Source organism: Homo sapiens, chromosome 2 (assembly GCF_000001405.40).
Source record: "Homo sapiens chromosome 2, GRCh38.p14 Primary Assembly".
Classification (NCBI taxonomy): domain Eukaryota; kingdom Metazoa; phylum Chordata; class Mammalia; order Primates; family Hominidae; genus Homo; species Homo sapiens.
In genome coordinates this window covers 105,428,977-105,447,422 of record NC_000002.12, presented here as the reverse complement: position 1 = coordinate 105,447,422, position 18,446 = coordinate 105,428,977, and the positions used below count along the sequence as shown (strand labels likewise).

The 18,446-nt window shown below is 42.9% G+C and overlaps 1 protein-coding gene across 3 annotated transcripts in view; it reads left to right on the top strand.

The window, feature by feature from the left end:
* The window catches only part of FHL2 (four and a half LIM domains 2), an 80,818-nt gene continuing 71,265 nt past the window's right edge, over positions 8,894 to 18,446 (top strand). For 2 of the 3 annotated variants that reach the window (NM_001318897.2, NM_201557.5), the window contains exon 1: positions 8,910 to 9,024. The gene's annotated coding sequence lies outside the window, so the exon portion shown is untranslated. Of the gene's footprint in view, positions 9,025 to 18,446 lie in introns of all 3 variants that reach the window. The other variant, NM_001374399.1, reaches the window with a different exon arrangement.

Genomic DNA, 18,446 nt, shown 5'->3' with positions numbered 1-18,446 from the left:
AACCTTGAGGGCTGTATACTTAATAAAATAAGCCAGTCACAGAAGGATCAAATTCTGTATGATGCCACTTAGAGGGGATATCTAGAGTGATCAAGTTTATGGGAACAGAAATTAGAGTGGGGGTCACCAGGTGCTGGGTTTGGGGGGACAGGGAGTGGAGAGCTGTTTAATGGGGACAGCATTTTAGCTTTAGTTGGGGCAAGTGAAAAGAGTTCTGGAGATAGATGGTGGTGACAGTTGCACAGCAATTTGAATATACTTAATGTCACTGAACTGTATATTTTAAATGGTTAAAATGGTCAATTTTATGTTTACCACAATAATACATTTTTAATTTCAAAAATGTCTATTTACCTTGTGGTTTTGTCCTGAACTGGTATCCAGGGAAGACCTGGGCACCTGAGGACCTGACCTCACTCTTCTCCTGTGTTTGGTCTCTGGCTGGTTCTACCCAATGACTAAACCCAACCAGAAGCCAGACAGCAAAGGAGGCCTTTGATGCTTGTTCACATCAACCACCCTGGCACACAGCAAGGGTGTGTGGGGGAGCAGCAGAGTTGCCCAGGGCCCCTTCCACCCCAGCTTTTCCAATGATCCGCCACATGGTGGTTGTAAATGGCTCTAGAATTAGAGTCTTGTTGACCAGATTACAGCCCATTATTTACAGTAATTGACAGGGCACATCTGGGAGTGGCTTCCTATATAAACTCAGGGGCTAGCAAGGCATTTGGTCCACTCTATGCTCTCCCTCAGCTCCTATTTGAGGCTTGGCATGTCACCGGTTCATGTTTCGTCCCTCTAATTGAGGGTGTTGATCGCTGCTAGAGTACAAATAAGTTTAGCCAAGGGGTCACCAGCTGTCATCGATAATGTCAGTTGGTGTGGATGAAGACTCTACGCATAAATTTGAGAGAGAAATTTGAGGGAGACAAAACAAGGGTACACAGTATCCGGAATGTGCAGAGTGATACTGACCTGTTGGTATACTGTTGTGTTCCATTTTTTGTGTATATTTTTAGCATGTGACTTGAGACAGAGTGAAGTCCTGAATTTAGCGGATGTTTGAAAAGCCCAGCCCAGTCCTCAGCATACAGTAAGCATGCTTACTTTCTTGCTGAAGATATAATAGCGTAACATGAGGTGCTGATCATAGTCCTGGAAAGCATTACAGTCCTGAACGCTGTAATCCCAGATGCTGAAATCCCTAAAGATCAAAATTCCTAAATCCTAGAACCCTAATGTTTAAAACAAAGTGACACACAGCGCTGTTGCTGTTTGATCAACAGTGTTGTTTCTGCCAAATTTGTGGTCTGTATAGGCGTGCGTGCAGAATGGATTTCACTGTACCCAAAGCAACTTAGACGCATGGCACAGAAGATGGGAAAATTTAACAAGGAATGCTCATGTCAGTGTACACGGACTCCTAGAAGAATTTCGAAAAGAACAGCATCATATAGAAAATGGAGGTGAATGTATTCTCTGAGGAGGGCCATGTCCTAAAAGAAAATTTGTGATGTAAGACTTTAAAATAAAATTAATGATAGTGAAAGTCAGCCAGCTTTTGTGAACTATCTCTGTGCAATCGCCCATAATCCATCCCTGTAATACACTTTTTCACATGCTGAATTTTCTTTTTAGTTTATTTGGGGGAGGGTTCTTTTTAAATTTGTTTCCCACTATTTTAAACTGTCAGCATTATTTTTTACAATTCTCTCTGCTATGTATTTCATTATTGCATCATTGCCATACTGGAGGTTTAAATCGTGTAAAGACTTTGAGAGAGTTCTAATTTGTTTTACGCATTTTTTTTTTTTTTTGCAAATTTGACTCCATGAAAGTGCATTATCACAACGTTATTTTGTATGTAAGCATTATGTGTGTACATTCTCATTAAGTGAAGACATGTCCTTTTTCTATATCCGGGTTTGTGAAAGACAAAGTTTCTCAAGGTCTTGATTCTTTTGGTGACTGCATATGTGGTAGTGACCATCATGTAGTTTTGTTTTGTTTTCTTCTGTTTTTTTGTTTTTTTGAGACAGAGTCTTACTCTGTCACCCAGGCTGGAGTGTAGTGGTGCAATCCTGGCTCACTGCAACCTCTACCACCTCCTGGGTTCAGGTGATTCTCCTGCCTCAGCCTCCCAAGTAGCTGGGATTACAGGTGTCCGCCACCACGCCTGGCTAATTTTTGTATTTTTTTTAGTAGAGACCAGGTTTCACCATGTTGGTCAGGCTTGTCTTGAACTCCTGACCTCATGATCCGCCCGCCTTGGCCTCCCAAAGTCCTGGGATTACAGGCATGAGCCACGGCGCCTGGCATCATGTAGTTTTTGATCAGTCTCATCAAAAGGCAGGTTGTCCATGATGGTAGTTCACAAGACCACAGTTAGCAATCTGGATCACCTGCTCATAACTGTTATACCTGTGCGACTATCATTAGTATACCTAGAGTGGTTATGCTTGTAAAAAGATGTATGTTATTATTGCCTATTTTATTGTATTTAGTGGCCTATGAAGTGGTCTGTCATTTTTTTGATGTTTCTCTAATAAGTCCCCTTTTAAAAATGTAAACAAATGTCTTGTAAAGAATTTTCCATTATTTTTTCTGGAGTTATATTTTGGAGATTTTGATCTTTAAGGATTGAGATTTTAGGGATTTAAACTTTGGGGATTTGGGTCTTTTGGGAATTCAACATTCAGGGCTATGGGCTTTGGGACTGTATCTTTCCAGGTTATGGCCCGAACTCCTTAACATCATACTGAGATTATTATTGGGTCAATTTTCTGATAGGATAACATGGTTCATTTCAACACCCAGACTAGGTCAGCATAAGACAAGTTCAAAAATAAGAGGTGCCTGGATTCTGTACACCAGCAAATGGTGGTGCTATTTTTCAGGTTGAAACTTCCCAGAGCTGATCATAAATGTATTTACACTTACTGGACATTTATGCAGCCGTTCCTGCCTGTTTATTGTTCTGGGAAGTGCAGAAGGAATGTTTATGTAGAGGTTTCAGGAATAGCAAATGGAGTGGTTAGGCAATGAAAGGTATTCACTTGAAAATGAGGCTGGGCTTGTCCTTCCAGATTCTGCAGACAGGCGCTTGGTAGGCAACGCGGTTCACAAACCACTCATCCTCTGCACCCCAACACACACTGGTTCTGCATCTGAGGACTTTCCAGTCCAGAAAAACAACACTTTCCTTGGTCTACACTCTTTTCAGCTTACAAAAAATGGTATCGGTCCACGCACTCCCTCCTAAAACCCTATTCTCTCTGCCCCAGAACTAAGTGCTTCTCCTCTTACCTCTCTGCTATCCTTCTCTGGCTCCTTGGCTAGCTGTCTTCCTCTGACATGCAAACCACCAAGCCAGCAGGGAAAAGCCTGCCCATGGTGAAAGAGACCCAGCTCCCTCCAGCCAGGGGCCAGGTGCATTACCCCCAACCCCATGGCTTCTCAGCTCAGGGAGGGAGAGGAGGGAAAGGCAGTCCCAGCAGCAGTCAAGCTGGGTGGGATAGAGGAAATGGAGGGAAACGTGGGCCTGGCTGGCCCTTGTGACAGATAAGAAGCACAAACACCCCCCAGCAGGCTCAGCAGCACTAGGCTTACAGCAGTGGCCTGTGCGGCACTCAGGTGGCTGAGCTTTGTACCATCCTACGTACAAAGCTCAGCTCTGGCAGGCTCCAGGAGCCACAGAACCAGGTTCACAGAAAGATTAAGGCTGCCCACCCCTGAGCAAGAAGCTGTAGTGACAGCGACTCCCTCAAAGATGAGGGTGGTGGCAACAGTGGTAAATGGCACCTACAGTGACTATAAGGGAAAGGTGCTCCAGGTTCAAGGTGAGAGCCTCAGGCTGTGACAACAGTGCACAGTTAGTTCATTGCAAGCTCCTTGAGCTGAGGTTCTTCTCTTATGTTCAGGGCTGAGGCTCCAAGACCTAGCACAATGCTTGGCACATGGAGGAAGCTCCATGGACAGTTCTTGGAAAAAATGAATGAATAGCACTGATGGATGAACAAGAAGATTTTATGTCCCACAGGCAAAATGCCTTAGTGCATTGGCCTGGGGGTGCTGAGATTTTGCAGGAGACTCTGCCCACGGTGGGGTGCCCTCACCCAGGCTGGTAGCTGGGGATAAACTGGAGGAGCTCATGGCCATCTGTGAGTCTCCATCCTGTCGATCCTTGTGCCTGCCAGTGTCTGGTTCCTAGTGGAGGCTCAGTACATATTTCCCGAATTGAATAAAAAATGCTTGTTTCAGACCTATCTGTTTTGTAGTTTTGGTCTCCAAGTTTTTGAAAACATGACCAAAAAGTATCTGTCCACCTTTCCCCTATGATACCATAAAAGACAGGCAAGTGCCACATTCATGGGCAGTTCCTCTCCTTGGCACGCCCAGTCCTGACCACAGCCCCAAGTCCTGGCCACGGCGCTCCCTGTAGATATGGCTCCTTCCCACAGTGTCTGCTGTAGGTAGTGAATGTCAGGCAGGCACCCTCCCTCACATCTCACCCATCCCCAAGACTGTGAGAGTGAGTCAGTGTGGAGCAGGAAGAATGTCAAACAGGGCTGCATAGAGGCAGAAGCGTACAATACCTTTCCTTGCCTTCAGCAGGGTCACAGCCAACACTTCTCTAACAAAAGACAGACCAACAAGAGAAAAGCATAATAAGCTTGGTGCGATGGCTCACATCTATAATCTCAGCACTTTGGGAGGCTGAGGCAAGAGGATCACTTGAACACAGGAGTTGGAGGCCAGCCTGGGCAACATAGCAAGACCACTGTCTCTACCAAAAAATAAAAAATAAAAATTAGCCAGGCATGGTGGTGCATGCCTGTGGTTCCAGCTACTCAGGAGGCTAAGGCAGGAGGACTGCCTGAGCCCAGGAGTTTGAGACAGCATTTTGTGAGTTGTGATAATGCCATTGCACTCCAGTCTGAGTGACAGAAACAGACCTTTCGAGAAAAAAAATTTATTTCATCAAAGCTTTATGTGACATGGGAGCCTTCAGAATGAAGCCCAAAAGGCCCAAGGAAAGCTGTCCATTATTATGCTTAGATTTGATGAGGGATGGACAGTCACGTGGAAACATGATGAAAAGGGAATGATCTAACGCTAACAGGCTGAGTGGGAAAACTCAGCAAGGCCTGTCTGTTCAGATTCTTTTTGGCCTCTCTGTGTGGCAATCCTTCCTCCCAGCTATAGAGCAGAGACCTTCTGGAATGAAGATCTTATGATCTACTTTCAGACATGGCAGCTCAGAGAATTTCTTTACAGCCAGCTCTTGCCCAGAAAGGTAGGAAAAGGGTAGAGTAATACTTTCAGGATTTAAGGCTGGCTTTGCAGGAGAGTTCTGATTTCTATGACTCGCCTTGGGAAGAGGATTCCGCTTTCTTTGAAAGCTTCAGGGGAGGAAAAGAGGTGGAAGATAGGAAGGCTGGAAAAGGTCAGAGGGCCTTGCTGCTGAGGCTGCGGCTGAGGCCTTCTGAGTAGCCAGTTTGCCAAAGCATCATACTAAAGACTATTGTTTCCTGAGTCCCAACAGATGCTGTTGTTAGAGACCAAATACACCACCCCTAAATATGCTGGAAAAGTTACCCTTTCAAAGAGGATTTACATCTGTAAAGGAAATCTCCATTCCTGCACCAGGAAGAGAAGGATGACTAAATCCTTCGAGATGTATCTATGGAGAAGGTGCCAACTTAACATGATCCATTTTGTTCATTTTCTGTGCTTTTTCTGGGCATTCTTCTCCCCCATAACAGGGTTTTCCCACGCCATTCTTTCTGTGTTTCAGAAAATGATATTTCAGCCCAAAGTTTCAACTCCCTCTTGGATCTACCCTAGAGATTTGCTCAGCTCACTGTGTAACTCCCATGGATATACAAGGTATCCACGCTATTTAATATTCAACTTGTTTGTTTTTCTCCTGTTGATCTGTCTTGTGTTCCAGGGCATCCCAGCTAAGAACTCATGAAGGGTAGAGAGAAAACTGTTTTTCCTCTCTTTCATTTTGGGGGGCTGTTCCCAGAGATCAAAGATGAGCCCTGCAAACTGGTGAGTCCTTTCAGAAGTCCTTTATTTGGGCACCCCAATTCCTTGTCCTCCAGCCCAGCTTCCTCCAAGAGAGGTCCTTCCTTAGGACTCTCAGTGCCATCTCTTCCTGATCTTGTCCTTCTCTTGAGAAAGTCTACCCTACTCCAGAGGCTGACCTAAGACTGGAAGCCCCCCTCTTCCCTGGACACCTGTAGGATGCATTCCATGGTTCAGCTGGCTAGTCTCTGAGGTAGGCAGTCAGCACTTACTTGAGAGGGACTTTGGATAGTCCAAGCAGGGCTTTGGCACTGCAAATTCAAATAAGAGTCCAGAGGATGGGGCTCAGCCTGCAGGCTCTGCCCTGGGCTGTGTCTGTCATAGAGGCTCCTCTGGCAGTAAGACCCAACACAAAAGCATTGAAACTACCCCGTGCTATGTCTTAGGCCAGGTCCTATTCATGGGGGAGGCAACCCCATGCTGGTGTCTGTAGACAGAAGAGGGAATTAAAGGATTTCGGACCCTCTGTACTGCAGGAGCCAGGTCAGGAGAGGGGTCCCCTCTTCCATCATACATATCACTGAAAATGAGTTGGAAGTAAAAGAAGAATTCCTCTATATCACACAGTCAGATCAGGAGGTCATTACTTAAGTTAAAAACAATTTTTAAAAAACAAAATAATCATCAGAACATGCACCTCCTTTAAATAAAAGGCCCATTAAGTGCCTTTCTAATGTCCTGATTGGAGCATAAATTGGGGCATGTTAGGTCAGATAAAAGTGACCTGTGTGATAAAATTATACATTATGATTACATATATTATATTGTTTATTTTCTGTTTCCTTCTTTTTCTCTTAGTGTTTTTTTTTCTTTTCTTTCTCTTTTCTTGCCTTGCCTTTGCCTTGACAGGGACACTTAGAGGATTTGACAGGTCCAGCTACATCAGATCATTGGAATTGGCATGAAAAAGAGCTTCTGGGCCTTACATAGGTTTTTCCAAAGAGTGGGGAAACCCCAAGGAATTCTGTAACCTTAAAATAAACTGAGATTCATTAGTGCAGAAACACAGAAAGCTGTCTTCTGAGTCTCGGAAACTAAGATTTTAGATGAAGTTAATTTTCTTATAAAAGAATACAATATTATTGTAAATAATTTAGAGATTGCATATAAGACAAAGAAGAAAATAAAATGAGCTATATCCGTTCCTCCAGCCATCAACACCTTCCACATTTGTGGCACATCCTTTCAGGATGTATGTGTGTGTGTGGGAGGGGGGTGCTTACCTGTGTGTAGTAACTTCATGTTATACATATGCCTTTTTCCCTCAAGGGTGACCACTGTTGTTGCCCAGGCTGGAGTGCAATGGCGCGATCTTGGCTCACCACAACCTCTGCCTCCTGGATTCAAGCGATTCTGCTGCCTCAGCCTCCCAAGTAGCTGGGATTACAGGTGCCCACTACCACACCTGGCTAATTTTTTTGTATTTTTAATAGAAACAGGGTTTCACCATGTTGGTCAGGCTGGTCTCGAACTCCTGAACTCATGTGATCTGCCCCCCCCTCACCCGCCCCTTGGCCTCCCAAAGTGCTAGGATTACAGGCGTGGGCCATGACCTGCTTTTTATTATCAATCTATAATTATATGTATTGTTCCTATATCATTAAATATTCTCCTTTGACATTTCTAAAGGTTGCAGCGTGTTTTGCTTTGCTTTATTTTTGATTTTATTTTTAGAGACAGAGCCTTGCTTTGTTGCCCAGGCTGGAGTGCAGTGACACGTTCATAACTCACTGCAGCCTTGAACTCCAGGGCTCAAGTGATCCTCCTGCCTCAGCCTCTCAAAATGCTGGGATTACAGGCATAAGCCACTGTGATTGGTCTGTTCTGCTTTTTTATATACTATTTCTCATTTAATCAGCCCCCTTTTGATAGCCATTTAGGTTGTTTCCAACTTTTCCTAATTCCAAGATAAAAAGAGCTTCGAGAAATGTCCTTGCAGCTGTATCTCTGCCCACATCCACTATTCTTTCCTCGGGATAAATCTGCAGGCTTAGAATTGTTGTGGTAATGCAGACAGCTGTCGCCAAATAGTCCTCAGAAGAAGTTGGCCCTCGCCATGGGTGAGTGCCTTTTCAGCATACTCGTAAGTAAGACATTAAGGAAGAATCAGGAGCTGTTGGTCCCCCAAATCAGTTTCTCTTCCTCTCCCAGCATATGGCTTTAAAAATGCTCTGGGAAGATTTCACTGTTTTAATTCTATAGAGAAAACAGTGTATGGCTCAAGAAACCCTTATAATCATGCATGAGCAGGGAGGATAGGGAGGGAGAGAACTTTCTGCGAATGTATTCCACTCCACGGCTTCACAAATGCCTGGCATTTATTAAGCCGATTGTTCGATCTTCCCAACATCCTCTCACCCAAGCAAATGCCCTTGTAAGCTAGAGAGCTCGTTCCAAAGGCAGCACTAGAAATCCACATTTCCCAGCTCACAGAGGTGCTGTGTAGCCTGGGGGAAGTGTCCTTTCACTCCTGGGCCTCCATGCCAGTTACCTAATCTGGGGGGTGCACAGAGGTGGAGCTGAGCAGCCTGTTGGAGGCTCTGCCTCTTGTATGACAAAGTGAGGTCCCTTTCTGGTGCTGGTGGCCTTCCCAGTTTAGCCACCCTTTGGATTCCTGGAAAATATGAGGCCTCGTGTGTCCTTGAAGCAGGCAGGACAAACGAGGACATGGCAGCCCCTTCCCATCTGGGAGCTGAGGCTTCTTTAATCTGGAGACCTTAAAAGGCACGTGGGAGCCAGGGGCTGGGTTCTTATCTCCTAGGCCTGGCCAATGTCCAGACGTGCCTTATTTATAGCGCCACTGACAAGGGCAGCGCAGCTGGCTGGCAGCTGCACAGAAGGTTGGGGCCATCCAACCAGGCAGTCCGCCTGCACAGCAGCTGTCCCTGCTCATCGGGCTGGAGGACAGAAGACAGAACCCTAAAACCACAGGTAAGGGCCACTGGTTCCCCTGTGCCCTTCTCTCACCCTTGCCATCCTTCCCAGCCTGTCTCTGCAGCAGCTCTGTAGGCATCTTGTTGCATGCAGAGGGAGTGTCCAGCCCTGGGAGGAAGCTCTCAGGCACTGGGAGCTCGCTGACCCCAGCAGAGATGCAGGTGTTGCTGGCAGCTGGCTCCCACCAACGGCAGAGCCCAAGAACAGAAGCCACCCTGCCCAGAGCTACAGGGGGTGTCAGCTTGAAGATAGAGAACCCCTGCTCATTGGGAATGAGGAGAGATTTAAATAAAATTGAACCTCTGCCCCCTTTCAGTGGGAATCTGTTTTGAACAACGGAAAACATTTTTTAAGGGGAAAGCAAAAGAAGAAATGTTATAAAATAAACATTGGAAAGGGAGAAAACCACAGTGCACTTGAACTTTTTCTCCCTGACAGAATTTCCGGAAAGCCTGGGATGAAAAGACAAATTACTGATGAGTCTGATTACTCTGGGAAAGTGTGTTTATGCAACATGACTCTTCGCAGCTGATGGTTTGAAAGCCCAGAGAGCTATTGCATGCTTTAAAAAGGAAATGCATGAATATTTTACAATTTCCAGAGCAGGGCAAACTCCAAAATGCACAGTCCTGAGTAATGCCCTGGCCAATTGTGTAATAATCTCAATATTGATAGGATGCCATATATATGATAATAGACATCATATATATAAACATCCTCTAGCCAGACTCCATGTAAGACACTTTATCAAGTCTAATCTAAAAAGAAAAATAAAGTTGTCAGTCCAGTTTATTTTTCTAAATTATTCTGACGTCCAAAGATAGTGTTAATAAACACCTGCCTTACAGATTAATGCTATTGTAGCTCATATTTGCTATATGTAAGTTTACTATAGTTGTTTTATTTGTTTCTTGGGAATATTATTTGAATTTTATTTTATTGCTAGGCTTTCAAAATTTTATCGATACATAATATTTTACATATTTATGGGGTACATGTGAGTGTTCGGTACATACATAGAATGTGTATCAGTACATACATAGAATGTGTAATGACCAAGTCAGGGTTTTGGGGTATCCAGGATGGGCTGGAATAAGGTCTATTATGTGTTGAGATCCACCCGACCCCTTACACAAGTTTTTGTATTTAACTGAGTAGGTGACTAATCCACTCAAATGATTACACTTTGGAGGCATTTTCTTATATTAAAAAATATTTTAATGCATAACTTCCATGAAAAGTTGCATATTTTCCAATACGGGGTTCCCTGACTGCTCACCCACCATCTTGCCTTTCAGCAGGTTTCGTACTTTTAGGTTTCATTGTTCTATTCAGGGCTTCCAGAGTTCTCCATTGATTTCAGATCCCCAAGGCCAGGCCAAGCCATGCCTCTCACTGCATTCCCATGACCTAAAGCACAGGGACCTGCACTCTTTCTACCGATCTCTGAAATGTTTCATATTTACAAGATATGGCCCAGAGACTGATTCTAATTCATTCTCTCCCCACCAAAGAAAGAGGTAAAATTATATTGATTGTTTATATCTTTTTCACTCTACAAATAATCTGTTTACTATAAAAAATACAGACCAGCAAAAAGAAGAAAATGGAAAATCATATATAGTCTTACTACTCAAAGATAACTATTTTTGCAGTTAATTGTTTATCTTAATTATTTATTCATTCTAAGATATCTTTGATTGAAAGATTAACCATTAACTTAATATTCGTTTTTTTTAAAAAAATACCACTATGAGATATTTTAAGGTGAATCCAAAAACATTAAATTATGTGGGAAACTGTAAATAATAATTAACAAAACATATATATATGTATATATAAATCAAGTTATTTGCTAATCTTCTTTCTTCCAATTTATGGCCAATGTCTTTTACTGTAGATTCAAAATCTAATTCCTTGAAAATTGGTTATCTCTATATATCATTATGACCAATTTGTTTAGTCAACATATTAAAATATTCATAATAGTTGGATAGATGAGAAGTAAAAAAGGATAAAGATTTAGATAAGACATTTTATTAGAATATAGCAATATAACATCAGTTCAAAGTATGATCTGGTAATTGACTTCTACACTATTACTGGTCCCTTTTGAATCATGAAAAACTCAACCACCTTGCGCCTTGATCTGCATGCCCTCCACACCCCACAAAATCTGGTTTACTGATTTTTTTTTATTACCGTTGATTTGTCAGCACCTCCTCACTTAATCTCTAATACACTAAAATGTGGATGAAAAATAGAAAAGAACTCACATAAGTTCTGAGCAATTTAATGTTTTACAATTTGATACTTCATTTGAATTTAATGGATACATTTTAGATGGAGAAAAGAGGAATAAAAATCCATTTTAACACAGGACTTTTGTTATAGTTAAAAAGTAATACTGAAAAATTAAACTGAACTAAGACCATATCAAGGCAACAATGCATAAAACATACTTGATCTGTTTTATTAAGGAGGAGCAGATAATTAGATATTAAGAAGAAAGTGCAAGAATTTCATTCTGGTCTTTTTTTATTGTTTGTTTGTTTATTTATTTATTTATGTTTTGAGAAGGAGTCTCACTCTGTCACCCAGGCTGGAGTGCAGTGGCACAATCTCGGCTCACTGCAACCTCCACCTCCTGGGTTCAAGTGATTCTTCTGCCTCAGCCTCCCGAGTAGCTGGGATTACAGGCGCCTGCCACCATGTCCGGCTAATTTTTGTTTTTTTAGTGAAGACAGTGTTTCGTCATGTTGGCCAGGCTGGTCATGAACTCCTGATCCCAGGTGATCCACCTGCCTCAGCCTCCCAAAGTGCTGTCATTCTGGTCTTTAAAGAGTAAGCATGTCTAGATGGTATCTGAAGCGGCTATGGGAACCACCTACTTTCACGTTAAGTAGAAGCCATCATAGTGCTTTTTGCCTGGGCTTAGTTCTGTGCAGATAAATCTAGAGTAATTTCAAGGTATCAGTTCACGGTTTCGTATGAACACAAAATAGAAAATGACATGATTTGAATGTTCTACTCCAAGTCGTATCCTTTGTAGGAAGATGAAATGGTTAAGATGAAGGCACAATGGGTTATATGAAAACATTACATATATGTAATAATATGTAATAACTAAAACCAATAAACAGTGCAATAGCTCAAAAGTGAAGTATGGTTAAATAAAATATGATTAGCCATAGTATGGAATATATGCAACCATCAAAAATAAAGTTTGCATAGAACTTTTGATTTTTAAAACTCAAACTAGAAAGCAATATTCATAATATATGAACTGAAAAAATACACCAAAATATATAAAATTATTGATTCTGAAGGATAAGATTGGTAGTAATGTTACATTTTTCTCTACATTTTAAATAGTTTACTAAATTTTCTATACTAAGTCTGATCATGAAAGTTTTCGTAATGCAAAATTCTATGCAAACATAAAACAGTCTAATTATTACCACCAATTATAAAAATCATAAATAACCAACCAGAATGATTTAGTCTATTAAAAATAATAGCTAGTTTCGGAGGCTGAGGTGAGAGGATTGGTTGAGCCCAGGAGTTTGAAAACAGCCTGGGCAAGAGATCAAGACCCCATTTAAAAAAAAAAGTTGAAATTTATTGAAAGATCATTATATCCAGTAACTATGTTTTAGCTCATTTAATACAACAGCACTATAGGTAAACATTATTATTAATTTTGTTATTATTCCTATTTTCAGAGAAGGAAACTGAAGCTTATAACCATGTTATTCATTGCCGAGGGTGCAACCAAGTTAAAGATAATGTCTTGTTTTTTTTGTTTGTTTGTTTTGTTTTTTTTTTGAGATGGAGTCTCACTCTGTTGCCCAAGCCGGAGTGCAGTGGCAAGATCTCAGCTCACTGCAACCTCCGTCTCCCAGGTTCAAGTGATTCTAGTGCCTCAGCCTCCTGAGTAGCTGGGATTACAGGCATAGGCCACCACTGCTAATTTTTGTATTTTTAGTAGAGACAGTGTTTCACCATGTTGGCCAGGCTGGTCTCGAACTCCTGACCTCAGGCGATCCGCCCACCTCAGCCTCCCAAAGTACTAGGATTACAGGCGTGAGCCACCGTGCCTGGTCAATGTCTTTCTTTCCAGTACTTTCCGATCCAGTTGGCATTAGACTTCAATTGCAAAAGAGCAACCCTGTTGCCATATGCAAGGGACAGCATGGTTTGAATGACATAAATGAATGCTTCAGGTATTGAGGGCAAAATCTATGAATGTTTTAAAATACTTGGGATAAAGTTTGCAGAGAAAGGGACGTGGTGCCTCAAGGAAAGGAGAAATTAGCAGAGGCTGAGAACATTACAGGTGAGAAGGAATGTGAACAATATGGAGATGGAAAGTGATAGGATTCCTTTGAAGGTACCAGAAAATATGCTAAATGTGTTGAGGGGTGGGTAATGACTTAAGGACAAGGGCTACCTCACTTCTCTTTGTTCTCTTTTGGACATTTTGAAAACTCAACATTCTGTAAGATGAAATAAGAAAGTCTCTTGACTCCCCAAAGTAAAAGGGGAAAAAAGAAAAAAATCATTTTCATAAAGAATCTGGAATAGGACTGATTTGGATTCCAGATTTAAAATAAAATAAAGCTCTGAATTAGAGAGATAATAGTTGTTGGCGTTCGAGTGCTCATGGTGTGTGCAGCAGTGTTGTGTATGCTGCACACACACTCAGGATGTACAGGGTGGCTCTATGAGGAGTGTTCCTGGTTTCCTTGTTTACAGGTGAGGACGCCGAGGCACTGAGAGGCAAAGGGGCACAGAGGCAGTACAGGGGAAGCCAGATTTAAATACAAGCAGTGCAATGCCAGTTTCACACTAATCCCACTAGAAACTTGGAAAAGTCTCCACAACGGAGAAAGGACCTCATCTTAAAAATGAAGCCGGGCGCGGTGGCTCACGCCTGTAATCCCAGCACTTTGGGAGGCCGAGGTGGGCAGATCACCTGAAGTCAGAAGTTCAAGACCAGTCTGGCCAGCACGGGGAAACCCTGCCTCTCCTAAAAAATACCAAAATTAGCTGGGCATGGTGGAGCGTGCCTGTAATCCCAGTTACTCAGGAGGCTGAGGGAGGAGAATTGCTTGAACTTGAGAGGTGGAGGTTGCAGTGAGCTGAGATCGTGCCACTGCACTTCACCCAGGGTGACAGAGAGAGACTCCTTCTCAAAAAAAAAAAAAAAAGAAGAAGAAGAAGAATGAGGACTTTGAACTTATTTTTATTTTTCGTTTTTAATTCTCCCTTTAGTTTCAGCACCTTCTCAAGAGGCTGGGAAGGGTATTCATCCATCCTAGTTAAACCCTGAGAGCTAGCACTGTAACCTGCACACAGTGCACAACTGACTAATAAATATTTGCTGAACCAAACTGTTGTGTTTAATTCAGTTGAGTTCTAGGAGTGTTGAAATCCAAAGGAAGGAGCTAGAAGTTTCTCTTCTTGGCTAGTACTTTTCCCTTCTGCAATCCTGGCTGGGAACCAGGTTTCATATTCACTCCCTACCTTTCAATACGTAGCACAAGGACGTGTTTTTTACATGGAATTTTTTGGACGCAATCAGTATTAACATTTGATGATAATGTATGCTTAAGGAGTAGATTCTCTGACTTGAAAGCTTCCATTTACTAATTTATTAGTTTGTGTGAGTGTGCCTGTGTGCACACATGTCTCTGTGTACACATGTCTCTGCGTGTGTCTGTGTGTGCCTCTGTATAAGTCTGTTTGTGTTGGGGGAAGAGAAGAGGATGGAAATGCTGAAAAAATTCTAAACTCTGTAAACTTCCTTTTTGAAAAGCGTCCAATTTTCTTCAGAATCTTTTAATTAACTTACTAGGAAACTGTAATATTTTGCTCTCTTTAAATATAATTTAGGAACCGAAAAAGCAGGTGAGAGAGGATAGTCTCTTTCCTTCAACTTTATTTACATTGAATAGAGAACCAATGGCCAAATGTTATGCCCTTCCAATCCCAAAATCAAAGACAGAGGTCAAACAAGACAGTCAAATCAGTTAGGTTCAGAGAAAAAATAATAGCGAGTGTAAGACATAAAGCTGAGATGTGGAAAGTGCATGAGACAAACTCCTTTTAGGTCCCTGTTTCTCTACTCCTGCAAATTGAAAATGCAAAAATCTATGAGCAGGTGCAAATGTGTTGGGACTCAAATGAACCAGCATGGGCGATCATCCAAGTGAGGGGAGAAATAAGCACACCCACAATTTCATGTCTACAAACACTCTCAGAAGGAAAATCTCTGCAGGCAGCAAGGAAAAGTGGGATGAGGACCTTCTAATTAAGACAGGGCTCTCCACAAGTCAGACAGTTTGGAAACTCATAGTGGCAAGTTCAACATTGTTTGAATAATGAAAGTTGGGTAGAAGGACTGATAAACCCTTCAGCTACTTTTATTAACAGCAGCAGCAGCAGCACATCCTCCACTCTGGCTGCTGATGAGCTCCGGCAGGATCCTGGCCTGCTGCCCTGAGCTGCTTCTACTTTTGTCTGCTGTGCTTCACTCTTTCCTGGGAAGTGTCAGCAAACCTCCGCCAGCCTTGGGCAGGAGCAGCCAGGCAACCCCAGAGGCCAATGTGAGCCCAATTTAACCACAGGTCTCTGTTTAAAATTTGCGATCATATTTGTAACTTAAATTAGACAGTGTGTCTCCTTTTCCCAAACGTTCCAATGGCTTCCCAAGTCAAAATAAAATCCTAACTCCAACCATAGCCAACAGAGCCCTACATGATCCAGGCCCTAGGAATCTGACCTCATCTCTTCCTTCTCTCTCTGTCCATCTAGAGAGGCACCAGTCACACTGCCCTGACCCAGCTGTGCCAAGCACTGCCCTGCCCCAGGGCATTTGCACCTGCTGGCATCTCTGTCAGACTCTTCCCCAAGACAATCACATGCCTTCCTCCTTCCTTCATTCATACCCAATCTGAGAGCTACCCCTAAACACTTCATCTAAAATGACACTCCTTATCAATCTCTAGCTCCTTACCCTGGTTCACTTGCTATCTCACACATATACACATCCACCTACATATATGTTTATCTCTCCTCCAATAAAATGTGAACTCCAATGAATGCAGAGACTCTATTTTGTTCACTGAGATATGCCCAATACCTACAGCAGTGAGTGGTGTCTACTAGATGCTAAATAAATGTCTGTTGAACGATGAAGTTGTGAATAATCTATTTTCATGTATTTAATTTGAGATCTTAGAAACTTTTTGACTGTAATTCATATTGTAGAGGGGAAATGTTATAAAACTCTTCCTCCCCATCATAAGGGTCATGGCAGGCATTCCTATCACAAAATCTAGATTAACAAGAGAAAAGCATAACTAATTTATTTCGTGATATGGGAGGCTTGAGAAAGGAAGACCCAAAGATCAAAGAGAAAACTGTCCATTTTTATGTTTAGAGTCGAGGAAGAGTGTACAGTGGTGTAAAAATGTGATTGGACATAATGGGTATGGCCTAATGGCAACAGACTTAGTGGGGAACCCCAGCAAGGCCTGTCTGCTCTGATTCATCTTGGCCTCTGTATGGGGCAGTCTTTTCTCCCAGACACAGGGCAGGACCTCTGTGGAATGAGGTCTTAGGATCTCCTTTCAGACAAGGTAGGTTTGGGAATTTCTTTATACCCAACTCCTACACAAAAGGGCTGGGGAAAGCTTAAAGTAATATGTCTAGGGTTTTGTTAGATGGAGTTTCGCTCTTGTTGCCCAGGCTGGAGTGCAGTGGCGCGATCTCAGCTCACTTCAACCTCTACCTCCCAGGGTCAAGCGATTCTCATGGCTTAGCCTCCAGAGTAGCTTGGACTACAGGTGCCCACCACCACACCCAGCTAATTTTTTGTATTTTTAGTAGAGACGAGGTTACACCATGTTGGCCCGGCTGGTCTCAAACTCCTGACCTCGGGTGATCTGCCCGCCTTGGCCTCCCGAAGTGCTGGGATTACAGGCGTGAGCCACCTCGCCTGGCCTATTTCTAGGTTTTATTTTGGAGGAAGAGTGGTTCTGGCTTCTCTGACCTGCTTTAAGGGAGGAAAGGAAACAAGAGGAGGACAGGAGAAGATCAGACAGAGACTTTGCTTCAGAGGCCTTTCCAGTGTGCTTCAATTCAAAGCACTCAGCAAGCCACAGCGCCACACTTTGGGGTGTCGTTTGCTAAGCCCCAACGATGCCTATCACTGGTCACAGTGTTCTTGTTAGGATTCAAGTCTAATGTCCCTTGTTCACCACTTAAACTTCACTTTAAAAATTTCCACTACACTTGCATTTTGTCAAGGAAGGGAGGTGGGAGCTGACGAGTCAGGTTGCCAGGGCACAAGGTCCTAGTTCTGCTGTTCACACTGGGCCCAGGCAAGATTTTAACTTCCCAGAACCACGTCTGTAAAATGGGAATAATAACAGTAACCTTGTCGGTCACTTGCAGGGATTCAAGGAGGCACTAACAGCCATGGCTACCATGAACTGAGCCCACGTTGTATCACAGAAAGTACCCCATACTCTTGACTTGCTTTGCACTGTCCCGTCTTCACAGCAGCCACCTGGTGCAGGGACAATTACAATTCCTAGGCTGCAGATGAGGGAACAAACCTAGAAAAGTATCTGAACTAAGGAGCTATAGTTGCTGTACTAGTTTCCTATGGATGCCGTAGCAAATTACCATAAACTTACTGTCTTAAAGCAACACAAATTTACTTTCATTTTTGGAGGTCAGAAGTCTGAAACAGGTCTCACTAGGCCAGAATCAAGGTATCAGCAGGGCTGCATTCTGGAGGCTCTAGAGAAGGAATGTTTCCCCACCTTTTCCAGCTTCTGGAAGCTACCTACGTTCCTTGGCTCATGGCCCCTTCTTCTATCTTCAAAGCCCAGAGCATAGCATCTTCACATTTCTCTTTCACCCTGGCTCTCCTGTCTCCATCTTTCATATATAAGGACACTGGTGATTACATTGGGGGATGTCCAGATAATGTAGAATAATCCCCCTATCTCATGATCCTTAACTTAATCACATCTGCAAAGCCCCTCTTGCCATGTAAGGTGTCATATTCATGGGTTCCAGGAATTCAGATGTGCACATTTTGGGAGACCATCATTTTGCTACCAATTACTAAGAGGCAGAACTGCGATTTGACTCCCAGCCGATTTCTTGACCATCATATTGTGGGGCAAAGTCTTTGGTGTTTATTAAGTCCTTTTTCCCCCTTGTGGCAGTGGAGGGAGGGTGGAAACCTCTGGATCCCAGATTCAGGTTTTGTATGCCACATTAAACAGGACAGGTCATCCCCTTCTGCCCTTCTCCTCTGCAGTATAGGACGCCAAAGGCTCACAGTTAACTTTCAACATTGTTTTATCTTATGAAGGTAAGGTTTAAAACAATCCATC